Source organism: Homo sapiens, chromosome 6 (assembly GCF_000001405.40).
Source record: "Homo sapiens chromosome 6, GRCh38.p14 Primary Assembly".
Classification (NCBI taxonomy): Eukaryota; Metazoa; Chordata; class Mammalia; order Primates; family Hominidae; genus Homo; species Homo sapiens.
This window is the reverse complement of record NC_000006.12, coordinates 133,495,350-133,508,953: the sequence shown is the minus strand read 5'-3', so window position 1 is coordinate 133,508,953 and position 13,604 is coordinate 133,495,350. Positions and strand designations below refer to the sequence as shown.

General features: G+C 37.9%; 1 protein-coding gene and 1 long non-coding RNA gene across 31 annotated transcripts in view, besides 1 other annotated feature; one reads left to right on the top strand and one right to left on the bottom strand.

The window, feature by feature from the left end:
- The window catches only part of TARID (TCF21 antisense RNA inducing promoter demethylation), a 386,755-nt gene extending 380,053 nt beyond the window's left edge, over positions 1 to 6,702 (top strand). Inside the window, exons 7-9 of the long non-coding RNA NR_109982.1 lie at positions 1,633 to 1,710; positions 2,684 to 2,875; positions 6,274 to 6,702. This is a non-coding gene — a long non-coding RNA (TCF21 antisense RNA inducing promoter demethylation). The remainder of the gene's footprint in view (positions 1 to 1,632; positions 1,711 to 2,683; positions 2,876 to 6,273) is intronic.
- Positions 1 to 13,604, bottom strand: part of EYA4 (EYA transcriptional coactivator and phosphatase 4) — a 291,536-nt gene that overhangs the window by 23,175 nt on the left and 254,757 nt on the right. For all 30 annotated transcript variants that reach the window (XR_001743219.3, XR_001743220.3, XR_007059221.1 and 27 more), the window contains one exon: positions 2,759 to 2,848. Coding sequence is in view for 27 of the 30 variants with exons in the window: in XM_017010368.3 (XP_016865857.1) it covers positions 2,759 to 2,848 (90 nt within the window). In the remaining 3 variants the exon portion in view is untranslated. The remainder of the gene's footprint in view (positions 1 to 2,758; positions 2,849 to 13,604) is intronic.
- Positions 2,604 to 3,803: an enhancer, noted in NCBI's record as "MED14-independent group 3 enhancer chr6:133826289-133827488 (GRCh37/hg19 assembly coordinates)". NCBI's record gives its function as "activates an origin of replication core promoter dependent on BRD2, BRD4, P300/CBP and CDK7 cofactors, and independent of MED14, by STARR-seq in HCT116 cells {active_cell/tissue: HCT116}" and the evidence as "EXISTENCE:reporter gene assay evidence [ECO:0000049][PMID:35650434]".

Genomic DNA, 13,604 nt, shown 5'->3' with positions numbered 1-13,604 from the left:
TTCTAGGGTTTGAGTCAAATGAAATTCTTATCACATTCTAAAACACAACTAAAAAGCTATATACTCAGAGAAGAGAAAGTCAATACCAGTATTTTCTCATGAACTACTTCTACCAAAGATCCTGCCAGGTATTTTTGAAATACATATAACATAGTACCTGAACTAAAATAAATGTCTTTAAGTGCCATACATGACTACAACATGTTTTTGATATACCAATATTCATTTCAAACTTGCTAGTTAGTTACAAATTCATTATATGCTACTTTCACCTTCTCACTGCAGTGTTCTTTTAAAAGTTGGGTAGCAAATTTATTCCATCTGGCTTCTAATGTGCCACTACAAAAGCTAAAAGTTCATTTATTCCACTTATTTCCAGTAAAAAATAATTAACCAAATGAAATAAGCACTTTTACTTGGATACTACCACATAAAATTTCTTTTTTCTTTTTATACCTTTGAAAAGACTAATAATATTAAGATCCTCTTTACAATGCAACTCATCCATACTGATCAACAGAAAAACTAACCCCAAAAGTTATCGCTGTATGTAAAAAATTCAAGTTGTGGAAAGGTTAAGGTGTTTGTTATTACCAGATATATATATATAAAATCATTCTGTATTCATAAGTAGCAGGATCAATTTAAATCAGGTTTTAGAGAGGTGATTATTATTTGTTATCTAAAACTGAAAGCTTGCCTAGTAATATGAGCTTTCATACTGTCCACTGTAGAAAAAAAAGAATGCCGCTTTAAACAGACAGTAATTGTATTATTCAGTAAAAACATGACTCACCATAGAGAAAAACAACAACAACAACAGCAAAATGCTATTACACAGATTTCAGCACACACATTTATGGAATGTACTGAACCACTCATTTTTACTCTCATGTCTCAAATATAACTCAAACTGGATTTAAGACCTTGTCATTTAAAAAAAAAAACTTTCTAACTGGCGTGTTGGTGGGAGTGTAAATTAGTTCAACCATTGTGGAAGACAGTGTGGCAACTCCTCAAGCATCTAGAACTAGAAATACCATTTGACCCAGCAATTCCACTACTGGGTATATACCCAAAGGATTATTAATCATTCTACTATAAAGACACATGCACATGTATTTTTACTGCAGCAATGTTCAATAGCAAAGACTTGGAACCAACCCAAATGCCCATCAATGATAGACTGGATAAAGAAAATGTGGCACATATACACCATAGAATACTATGCAGCCATAAAAAATGATGAGTTCATGTCCTTTGCAGGGACATGTATGAAGCTGGAAATCGTCATTCTCAGCAAACTAACATAAGAACAGAAAACCAAACAATGCATGTTCTCACTCATAAGTGGGAGTTGAATAATGAGAACACATGGACACAGGGAGGGGAACACCACACACTGGGGCCTGTGATGGGGTGGAGGGCTAGGAGAGGGATAACATTAGGAGAAATACCTAATGTAGATGACGGGTTGATGGGTGCAGCAAACCACCACAGCATGTGTATATCTATGTAACAAACCTGCACGTTCTGCGCATGTACTCCAGAACTTAGAGCATTAAAAAAAAAAGTTATTTAAGTAACTCAATAACTTGGCTTTTCTTTCTCACACACTTGTAAAATTTTCAGCAAAGGATGGGTCAGAAGTATGTGCTCTGGAGCCACGCAAATCTGCTTCAAATTCCAGTTCTGCCATTTAGATAGCAGGTAACTTTAGATGTGATTTGTATGTTGTGGACCATACAGTTTCTCCCTTGCATAAATAATGTGATAAACACATTTACTTCAATACATTGTTAAGTAATTAATGGAAAGTCCAACATAAAATATCTAGAACAAGGTAGGGGTTCAGTAGTAGTAATCTCCCTCTCAATTCATAATATGACTATAGATAAAAACTTTAATTATGAAACTATGAGATAAAAAATAAATTTAAACATGCCATCTGAAAAAAAATGAAAGAGAAATCTCTATTTCAGCATAGTTATGCTTGACTGAGAAGTACTTCTGCCAAGAACCTGAACTATTTAGTTATTTCGAATTCTATTATCTGAATGTCTAATAACCTAGGTCATTAGCACACAGATGGCATACTTTATTGCAGTACACATTCAACTACTCTGAGGCTATTTTTCCTTGGGTCGTTTCATTTTGCTGTTGATTTTTATTTTCTATTCCTCTTATTTGCCATTTAGACACTGTCTTGCCATTTGAGGTTGAAAATAGAAACATAATTTTTAAAATGAGAAAATAAATGCATTTAAATGCATCAAATGTGCTTAAATAGTTCTAGCACTGTTTTATCCAGAAGGGAAAGAAACGGGGAATGATAATGTTAGCTAAAGTTAAGTTTCAGATTATCCACAAAATTAATTGATCCACGCTATCACCATGAATAGTGTCTGTGAATATCGTTTAGTGATTAACCTAGATAGGTTCCGGGTTAATAATCTGGAAGAGCTAATGCTGAAACACTAAAAGAACCAAGAGTCATGTACAGCTGTGGACAGTAAGGACAGCAAAGCCAACAATCTCCTCTTCAGAGACATTTTTGTTCTACATATGTATTATTCATGAACACAAATTAACTTTCTGCTTATATTTGTATATACAATTTTTCCTCTTGACAAGAACTTTATGCTTCTCTTGAGCTGAATTTTTATCTTTCTGTTTTCTCGAGGTTATCTACAGATACAGAAACCATCTAGGAGGTCTGGTGTTGGATACAACTATTTGTACCTTGTAAAATTCTTACCTCTAAATCATTAAAAAACAAATGAGTATCAGCAAGATTAAAAATCATTTCTTCCATGCGGAGTCCAAGGGTTACAGCCATGGGGGGATCCTGTAAAGAAAATGTACACATAATGAGGTAAAATTTCAGTAAGCGCTTATTATTAAAAATATTTTAAGCACATATTGCTGTGGTGGAAGAGGGAGAAGACTGCATGGGTTTTTACTGAAGATTCAAAAGATTTCTCAGTTTTCCAAAAAGGTGACTTTCCAGAAGGTTCAGACATACCAAATGCACAGACACACCTGGGAATTCAGACATACGTAACGATGACTCAGCATACATTTTCACATAAAGCTGTATGTTGAGGAGAGAAGGAGGAAGGAAATCAGCTAGTTCATATGACCCAGTTTACATATAATCTATGGAAAGTATTCTGGAGAAAGGTATTTGGATGGGGTGCTGAAGAATGGAGCAAACTTACTAAAAAGAAAGGATGTCTTTTTAAGAATAATGACAAATAATAAGAATTAAAAGATAGAGAAAAATAGGTCAACTGGGTATTTATAGGACTTGAGTAGAGAATGTTATCTGGAGGTGAAACAGGAAGAGCTGGCAGAGGATGGTGCGACCATCACTTAATTTTTAATTGCATTTTTATCAACAAGGTAAGAGGAATCTCCCTATCCAAACATGTGTAGAGTTTGGTCTAACCTGCATTTGACTAAGGTTGAAGAAGGGAGGGGTGAGAATAGCTAAAAGAACATTAGTTCTCTAAGTGTAATCCAGGTAAAAAATATATGCTTTGGGAAGTGATGGGGTCAGTAAAGAGTTAAAATGACTCAATTTTTGTTTACAGAAACCAAGATATTAAACAGCAGCAAGAAGTCGAAAATCAAGACCAGAGTTGTTACTTTACCATAATTAACTGCAGCTGAAGGCCTAGCATCAAGAGATATAAGACTAAAAAGAAAGGAGCATTTGGGGATAGGGATGGGAATAGGGAAGTAATTCATGCTCAAACATTGTGTTTAAAATTATCAAAGTTGGAATGATGTCTAAAGAAGAACTGCTCATAGGTGCAACTCCGAAGATAAGAGAAAGAAAAAACCTGGAAGGGACAAACCCTTAAAATTTGAGACCAGATGGGTGTTAGCAGGGAGAAGAATAAGGTTTTGAATAAAGCTGACAAGTCTAGAAGGATACTATTGGTTTTGGCTGGGAAGTTATTTTGGAAGACCTCAGAGGGTGATTTGGGTTGAGTGGCTGGGCCAGGAGCCAGACTGCAGGGATTTGAGAAGAGAGAGCCGAAATTGTGTTTTCAACGTTCTAATAGTTGGCATTTCAAGAAATGTATCTCAACTTGGGGAAATGTAATGCAAACTTTACTCAATTTATGATAAGAACCTGCAACCCAGGTCAGGCCAAGCAGTATTCATCTACACCCTGAACTGATTCCATTTGCAAGGAGAAACCACTCTTCATTCCACACCTCCACTATGATAATCCATTTTATTCCTATATTTCCTTTCATCATGTTTTGAGGGGGAAGCCCTAAAGTGTAAACATATTTGAGATGTCATCCTGTGTTCTATAGCCATGAAAACCTGGAGAATAGGAATTAAATGCTAAGAAAAAGGCATTGAGTGCTAAGGGGTCACTGGGGTATGAGAGCTAAACTAAGACGATGTGAGTGAAGATAGAGACAAGATAATAATACGCTGGATTTCAACATAATTTTCTAATTGTTTGCATCTTCTCATTTAGAGATTTATGTGGATTTCATAGGCAGAGATTCTCATTTCTCAGTAATGGATGCTGACTCTTCACATATCTGATGGCCTCCTGGTATTATGTCATCCGGTAGCTTGACTGTGCTGCCGGATTCATCCGTCTTCCAGTGACAGAACCATTTGGGACTATATACCCAAAGATCAAATCAGTTCTGTTTTAGCCAACAAATATTCATTAAAAACAAGAATAAAATTATTAATAAGTAGGCCAGGCACAGTGGCTCACGCCTGTGTTCCCAGCACTTTGGGAGGCTGAGGCAGGCAGACCATTTGAGGTCAGGAGTTCGAGACCAGCCTGGCCAACATGGTAAAACCCTGTTTCTACTAAAAATACAAAAATTAGCTGGACACAGTGGTGTGTGCTTGTAATCCCAGCTACTCAGGATGCTGAGGCACGAGAATCCCTTGAACCTTGGAGGTGGAGGTTGCAGTGAGCCAAGATCATGCCACTGTACTCCAGCTTGGGTGACAGAGTGAAACAGTATCTCAAAAGAAAAAAAATATTAATAAGTGCCAGTTTGTGTCTCAAGGGGTTTCAGAGCTCAGAAGGGCCCCTTGCTCTGTTTCCTTCAAGTATAAAATTCTTTTTTCTTCATTTTGTTGATCATGTTTTTGTTGAAATAAAATCTCTAAAGGTTGTGTAAATTAAAAAAAAAACATTTTGTCTTTTTTGGTTGAAAAATTCCTATAATTAGTCTCTGTCTTTTTGACAGGGTTGGGGGAACTAGGCATTAACTAGGCTGAGGATATTCTATGAAACTATTCTGCCTAGTCATGGAACCATGAACAAAGTCTACAGAAATATCAGGAAAAATCAAATGTAATTATAGCATGAAAACATATAATTCCATTAGTGACGCTCTGTGCTTCTGAGGAATGTTCACTGATGCAAGACAATAAAACTGAGCTCCACACTAGTCTGTTATGTTTCTGATGATTACTGCCCTAAAGATATATATTTCAGATAGGAGTTCAGAAATATCTGATTTAAAAGGTTTTCCTTCTGGAGACCAGGTTGGTTAGGCTCTTATCCTATGATTTGCCAATTTTTCTTTTTAAGTTTTAAATACCATTATTGAATTTCTTATGTTCATTCTTCACATTCTTTGCATTTACAGATCAGATTTATGGGGATGGGAGAAAACATACTGTTCCTTTTGATTGTTACTTTGATCAATTCCATGCTTCTGAAGTACGTAACTCTGTGCTACCCAAACAGTGATAGGAAAATCCATGAAGAATGCATTTTGTACATCTGATAAGCATGCAAACAAGCATAATTTTTTTTAAAAAAAGCAAAATGCAAGAATCTGCTAGCAAGCAAGCATGGCATGTGGTGTGATAAAAACTGTAGTTGAGCACTCCACTGGAATGCAACCCCACGGCACTGGGAGGGCTGGTCATTTGTTTTTCAAGCTGTGGAGATTCCACATCACACACTCTGTGAGAGCCAGGACTTAGTAAGCATTTTGGCAAAATATCATTTGTAACTGGGAAAGTTTAGGTTTGTGGTTTGCTGGAGTGTGAACTAGCTGTATTTTACTAAGCTTTCCAGAGAGCAAGGCCTATTGAAAGAGAGAGGTTTCATCAGCCATGCCAAAGTCTTGGCACAGATGGGCCAGGGCTAGTCATGCCATCAGCCAAGGAAAACCATGCCTGTAAGAGGTGGTGATCTTGTTTCTAAGAGAATGTCTGGGGCAGGCTTACTTTCAAATATCTAATTTTAATTTTGTTTTTTTCCAGCTTACTAAGTCACTGGGACAGCTAATTCTAAGTGAGCAGATTACAGCACTGCATTTTTCCAGCTAAAGGACTCACAGATCCAAGAATCCCAGAAAGATGACTGGACATTTGGTGGGTGTAGCCTTAGCAATGCTGGGCACCCTCCATCTTGCCAAACTGCTGTGAGGGAGCTGCCAGCACCTGCAATTCCACTGTTTTATCAGGCATGTGAGAATGAAACATACTTCTGGATTGAACCCAAGTTTTATACAGAGATGTTTGCTCATTTTCATTAGATGTTTGTAGAATTATGGGCACCTTATGAATCAAGAGTTGCTTTTTTTTAATTTGCATTTAAGTGTAGTGAATGTTGAGTTTAGGGTCTAAAATGAGGTGATAGCAAAATCTTGGATAGAGGAAAAAAGTGGGATAATAAAGGCACTAACAGGGTTTTGTGGAAGTTCTGATATATATTATACATATTATAACAGTTCCAAAAGGTTCAAAGTGTCTACAACAGAGTTTAATAGGAAGCAAATTGAACTACTGCCAATTTATTCTGTGTACTGCTCTATCAAAATACTGAAACTATTCCCCAGACATTTTACTGAATAGAGAGAGAGAGAGAGTGAGAGAGAGAGAGAGAGAGAGAGAGAGAAGAGGAAGATGAAGAAAATAAATAGCTCTTGGCCTTTAAATGTGTGGTTCTAAGCCAGATGTTGCCAGTGTATAACCAGGGCAGGATCCAGTACAGCAGTTCTCTAAATCAAAATACTAACGCCTATTAGCCATGTGAACACAGAGCATAAATTGGAGCCAGACTGTCTGTCTACGGGCCTCTGCCCTGCATTGGGCCATCAGCTGGAATTCCTCCTCTAGGGACACACTGTAAAAATATCTCTGGAGAGGCAGCAATTATGTATTTTTAAAGAAACTAAGGACGTTTTTTTTTGTTTTTTAAAGACATCAACCTCTTGAAACAGTTATTCTTTTGGGACCCGTAGCATATGTGTAGACATGTGCACACAAAGATAGAAGATATGCAAGTTCATCATGGAAGAAAGAAGGCAGACCAGCTCCATGAACCAAGGTGGAAAAAGTTACTGGATTTTTTAGAATACATATACTCTTTAAATCATAAGAGATAAAATGAAATTCAGTCACAAATCAGAACAGAAATTTTACAATTGTGATACTTGTCTATGATGGATAGGTAGTGGGCTTACAGGTTCTTAGGAGGAACTGGAAAATGGTTTCAGGAACATTCATTTATTCATCATATATTTATTGAGTGACTAATTATGTATTAGACACGTTCAAATTCCAAGCAGAGAGCAGATAACCAAAAAAGCAAAGCCCGTACCTTTATGTGGTTTATATTATTACTGGATGAGATATCTGATAAACAGACAAGAAAACAAGGGAGTATAAGCATTTCAGGTGGTGATGAGCTATGAAAGAAAAACCAGGACAAGCAGATACAGAAGTGATGAGGATGAGTGGAAAGGGCTAATTTAAAGCAAATTCAGAGAAGCCCCCTTTCAGGAGGTAATGGCAGAGAGAGAAACAGAGGCCTGACAAAGGTGAGGGAGCTAGGTATGAACAGGTGCAATAGTAGCGAACATACACAGAGCCCAGAGGTGAGGAGTCTGTGTGTGAGAAGAGGGACCCTGACCAGGGAAGGGAAAGGAAACAAGGATTTTAAGAATGCAAGAGTGCTCCACTGAATGTATGTGAGAGGCCCCAGCAAGATAAGCCAAGAAGGAACACTTGATTTGGCAACAAGGTGGCTCCTCAGACTTGGCAAGTGTCATGTTATGGCAAAGCTGGAAAGAGCAGAGAAGGAGAGCAGTCACCAGAGGGGAAAATGGGCTCAAGAAGCTCTTCTAATGACAGGAATGTGACAGCAGATACGATGGTGATGGGAAGAATCTAGGAGAGTGAGAAACTGGTGGCTTAGCGAAAGAAGTCCTTTCAGGAGTCGATTCTTTGGGTAGGTGAGGGAGCACGGAACCAGGGTGCAAGAGAGGTGCAAGAGACATCTATGGCTACAGATGTAGGAGGCACGGATTTGGTGGTGCAAAGATGACAGAATTCATTTGTTTGCTTTTTTCCCCCTAGTAATTGAGGAGGTTTGTACAGAATTGGGAGAGATATGCTTGCTCTCCCTTCAGCTCTTCAAAACCTCCAATAGGAAGAGTTCATGACCCCAAGAGTGCTTGCACCCACTTGAGATTTGTGGCCACATTCAACTGTTGAGGTACAGGCAGTCAGTGGGGTTTTCTGATGGAGAAATAATGAGGAAAGGATAGAGAGGCGTTATGGAAAAGTAGGGTTATAGTGGTACATAAGGAGGACTCCAAGCTGGGAGGATGACATATAAGACAGGAGTTCTCAGACTCCACCATGCATGGGGAACACCGGTGGAGCTTTCACAATGCCTGTTGCTCGGGCCACACCCCATACCAACTAAATCGGATTATCTGAGGTGGGTCCACGCATCAGTCATGCTAAAGCTCTGCAGTGAGTCCAATGTACAAACGAAATTGAGAGTCAGCAGATGACAGTCTTGCTACTCAAAGTGTGGTTCACAGACCAGCACCATTGGCATCATCTGGAAACTGTTAGAAATGCACACTTGTAGACCCTTCCCCAGATCTAGTTTGCCAGGTAGTTTAACAAGATTATCAGGTGATTCATATACATGTTACTTTTGAATAAATACTGGTCTATAAGATATTATAATGAGAGACTGGGATAGTTAAGAAAAATCAGAGCTGGCATGACCTTCTGGCTTTCCAAGAGTTAAGCCTCTGTGGTGCTTCCACAGGACGGCTGGACTTGAGCCAGCGTGATCACTGAGTAGAACTGTGGCTTAGTATAATTTCTCGGGAACTAGACTTCTCTAGAGTTGCTTATGAGGAAGAGTGCCTTTTCCACCCTTCACCTCCATAAAGATCATTCTGTGGACTTAACTTCAAGGACCAAATGTCTGATGGTGTCTTTTTCTTAGTAATGTAGCCAATTACCTGCTGGGGAGCTGGTAAAGGTGAAAAGCTAGCACATTTTGAATTAAAAGATTTTGTTCACAATTCAAGTGTTCAGTGTAAGCAACATATTTGCAGTTGAACAGTAGTTAATGTTGTCAAGCTTAAATTGTATGATGAAGGGGATCATCACACAACTTACCACTAGAGGCTTCTACAGTTTCAGTCAGAAGGGAATCCAAATGTATTAAACTAATAACAGAATAAATGTACTTCAAGGGGGGAATTACAGTGGTAGTACATGGCAACAGTGTAACATGGTACTTGGATGGAAAGAAAAATACCATGTTGGGAGGATGGGCTAGAAAGCACAGGGCCCAGAGAAAAGTGGCAGAGCAGAGGTGGCAAATACACACACCTCACGAGGCTCCTCAGGACTCCAGGAGAAAGGTGATTGACATGTTAGGAGATGGCTATAGGAGGAAATGCCTAGGAGAGGGTTGATGATGGTTAAAGAATACTTAAGGTAAGTTAATGTTCTAATCCCCCACCTTCTCAAGATATGAGATTAAATGATCATCAACTGAGATCAAAGGAACTGAAAACTTCAGGGCAGGTTACAGAAGGTTGCTCTATGTGTTTTTAAGAGATTAGTTACCATTATCTCTCTGGTATATTAGCTTCAAGTTAATCAATGTGATGTCCTTTCAAGATCTTTCCCCTTTTCTAACATAATTCCAGCAATTACTTGCTAAAGATGGGCTTAAATAAAAGTTAGGAATATATTTGGCTATTCATGAGATCACGCAGAGTCATTCCATTTAATTTTTAAAAGAAATTCTCAAACATATACTCAACACGAAGCTCTGAAAGGGGAGACAATAGGTAGCAATGATTCCCCAATTCCCTAGGGAAGAGTTCGAGATATGTCACTGTCTTTGATTTGGCTTTATTTTCACATGCATATGTATGATATTTATGTACACACTATATACATACACATGCACACACAAACTTACTATAAGCTACCAGTAAAAACATTATGCATTTTTTGAGTCTTGCAAATTCTGTAATCATTCCTTTTATATAATATATACCAAAACCACTCTCTAGTCACCCTGGCATAGTGCTACTTCTCTGCAACACTGACTGACTCATATTATGAGGTAAAATAACAGATACAAATATAAAATGCAAATTTCCTTAGAAAAATTCAGTTTCCTGTATTCCAGATTTCCTTGAAACTAAATAAATAGGTTATGCTTACTGAATGTTTATTCTGTGGTGAGTTTTAATGCATTAACTCATTTAACCCTCAGAATCAAATTACTACTTTTATTATTCTCCTTATTTTATATACAAGACAACTGAGGCTCATAAATGCTAAATAAACTACTCAAGGTCACATGGGTACTAGGAGGGAGAGGCAGAATTTGAACTCAGGGTCATTCTCCCTCCAAAGCCAGAGCCCTCTAAGCATATGGTGTTTGTTAGCACTGCCATTAGGATTGCCTCAGATCCATGGTTCTAACACTTGATTAATTCTATTACTTTCTATTAAACCATGTTGGTTTTCTTTAGTCCAAATGCACAAACATCAGCATTTATCTTCATGACTAGCCTATCATTTAAAATCCAGCCAAATGCTATGTTAGAAGTATTTTTCTGCACAAATGTGTGTAGACTGTTCAATATACAAGCAATCAATTGATTAATTCTGATAAACATATTATTTTGCCAGCACTGCTGTTAATATGAGATGTTGTCTAAAATAAGCAAGCAGTTTGGGGACCCTGAATCTGAGTTTCACATTATCAGCCAACCATTCACTTTTCCTGCAGTTCCTTCACTTTTTCCCCCTGACTTGGGCTATTTCCTCTGTGTCCTTACTGTGGAATAACTTTAGAGTATCATAGCTTCATAGCACATGATACATTAATGATCCAAGATAAACCAAATCCCTAAAGCACAATTTATATAGCTTTCTTCACCCTCCCCTGAAAACAAAAGGAATCACTGCAAGTTATCAGGTAAAATGATATACACAATCAGGGAATAGAAATAAACTCTAACGTGATGGATGATTCCTGGTCTACATCCTGTCGAATTTACAAGCTCCTATTTTAGAGTTTTGCAGCACAGACACTGTACATTGCAATTGGTGCTCAGCTGCAAAACCCATCACCAGCCTCATAGCAGCAGGGCTCAGATAGCAAGGTTCCTCATTCACCATCGTCAGAAATGTCCAGGAATAGTTCTGCTTGGAAAAGACAGTGTTGACAATTGAACAGGGTCAAAAAGTGATAACCCATTAGGAAGATGCTTGGGAAATTCACATAATTTAATTTATAAATGGAAGTAGAATTTTCCAAAAGTTTTTTTAAATTAAAACACAAAAGTTAGTTGGGACAATTTATGGGTAAAAGGTCATTCCTACATTACTGTGGTCCACACATTTTATTTTTACAAGTTGTGGGGAAAGAACACGAGACCAAAGAATACAGAGATTAAGAACCTGCCAAAGAGATACGGATTTCACTGATCTTGCCACTTATGAGCTATGTATGGTAGTACCAATCAATCACACAGGGTGATGGGAAAAGCTAATGAGAGAATGCATTTCACAGGACACTCAGCCAAGGGCCAGGCGCACAGTAACCAGTAAAAAAATGATACTCAGTATTGCCCACTAATTATGGGTGCGGGGAGAGGAAGAAAGACAGGTAGATATGCAGGTAGGTATGGTAATTTCAGGATATGATTGACATCTCTGGTCTTCATAGGTGCAGCTCCCAGCTCACTATACTTGAGGCCACTGCAGTGCCACTTCACATGGTGCAGGAGTAAACATTGACCTTGCAGGTCTGAAAACATCTGCCTTTAGTTATTTCTCATTTTGGAGAAAGAAGGTATATTTTTATGAATTTTCTCTAACCTAGGAGGTAGATGATAGTTTTCACCGTGTAGTGTCATTTTTATATACGTACATTATCTCATTTAAGCCACCCCGTAACCCCTGGAAGGAAATGAATTATAACCATTTTCAGATGAAACAGGCTCAGAGGTCAGTTTGCCCTTAGGCACAGCCAGGCACAGGAGGTCCTTCTGACTTTTAGTTCAGTGCTCCTTCAGCTAGTCGACTGCCTTCCAGGCTGTATTCTGAGCAAGCTCCAGGATTCAGGAACACCTTTCATGGTGACCAAGAATGATGGGGAAGGGTGGTCATGTAGGGGAAATGGGATCTCTCCAGTCCCCCATCTGTACATTTTACCTAGAGCAGTTCTGCCCTTAGATGTTCTATACAGTGATGCTCTCGGTCATATGTGTGTAGAGGAATCTCTGGCTAAAATAATCAAAAAAATCACTATGCTATACCAAAATGTTGTTACACTCTAACATGCATATTGTGGAAATAAGACTGATCTAAGAAATGAAAAGAATTAAGGACCCATAATAATTTTAAGGACCCATAATAATTTCAAGCTTAGACAATCTTAACACTACAAAGGTCTTTTCCCCCCTCCCAGAAATAATGGCTCTGGTCACTTTTGTTATTAGCAATGCAAAGTCCTGACTTAACTAATCATCAGAATAACCTTATTTCAGTCAGTCCTCAAGGTTATTACTGATGACATTAGGGAACTGAGGGATTAAACTTAGTTATAGAGGATTCTTTTAAACATCTCATGACCTTTAATATGATAACATGCATTGAATGGCTATAAAATGTAAGCATTCCCTAAATATATTTGACCATGGCCTTTTCTCAAAGACTATTAATTAACATGTTCATTAGTTTGCTCAAGGAAAAAAAGTCTGGGAAATACTCCACTCTAGTGGTTCTCAAAATGCAGCCCAGGACCATCAGCTTTATCTGGAAATTTGTTCCAAATGCAAAACCTATGGTCCCACCTCAAACCTCTTGAATCAGAAACTCTGGGTTGTAACGCAGCAATCTGTGCTCAACAGGCCCTGCAGGTTATTGTGACACACACTCAAGTTTCAGAAGCACTGTTCCTATCTAAGGCATGGCCATTCTTACTGCATAGTGTCTCCTAAGTGGTCAACTTGTGTCCACTCTTATTCCTCTAAATTCTATTCTCTGCATAGCAGACAATAATAAACCTAAAACTCCCCAACAGCTTCTCACTGCAACCAGAAAAAACCCAAACACCTTACCATAATGAAGAGTCCTTGCCTGGTCCAGCCCTTGCCTACCTCTCTCTTCTATATTTCTTTATATTTATTTATAAATAAATGAATATATTTCTTTATATTTATTTATAAATAAATGAATATATTTCTTTATATTTATTTATAAATAAATGAATATATTTATATTTATTTATAAATAAATAAATATAT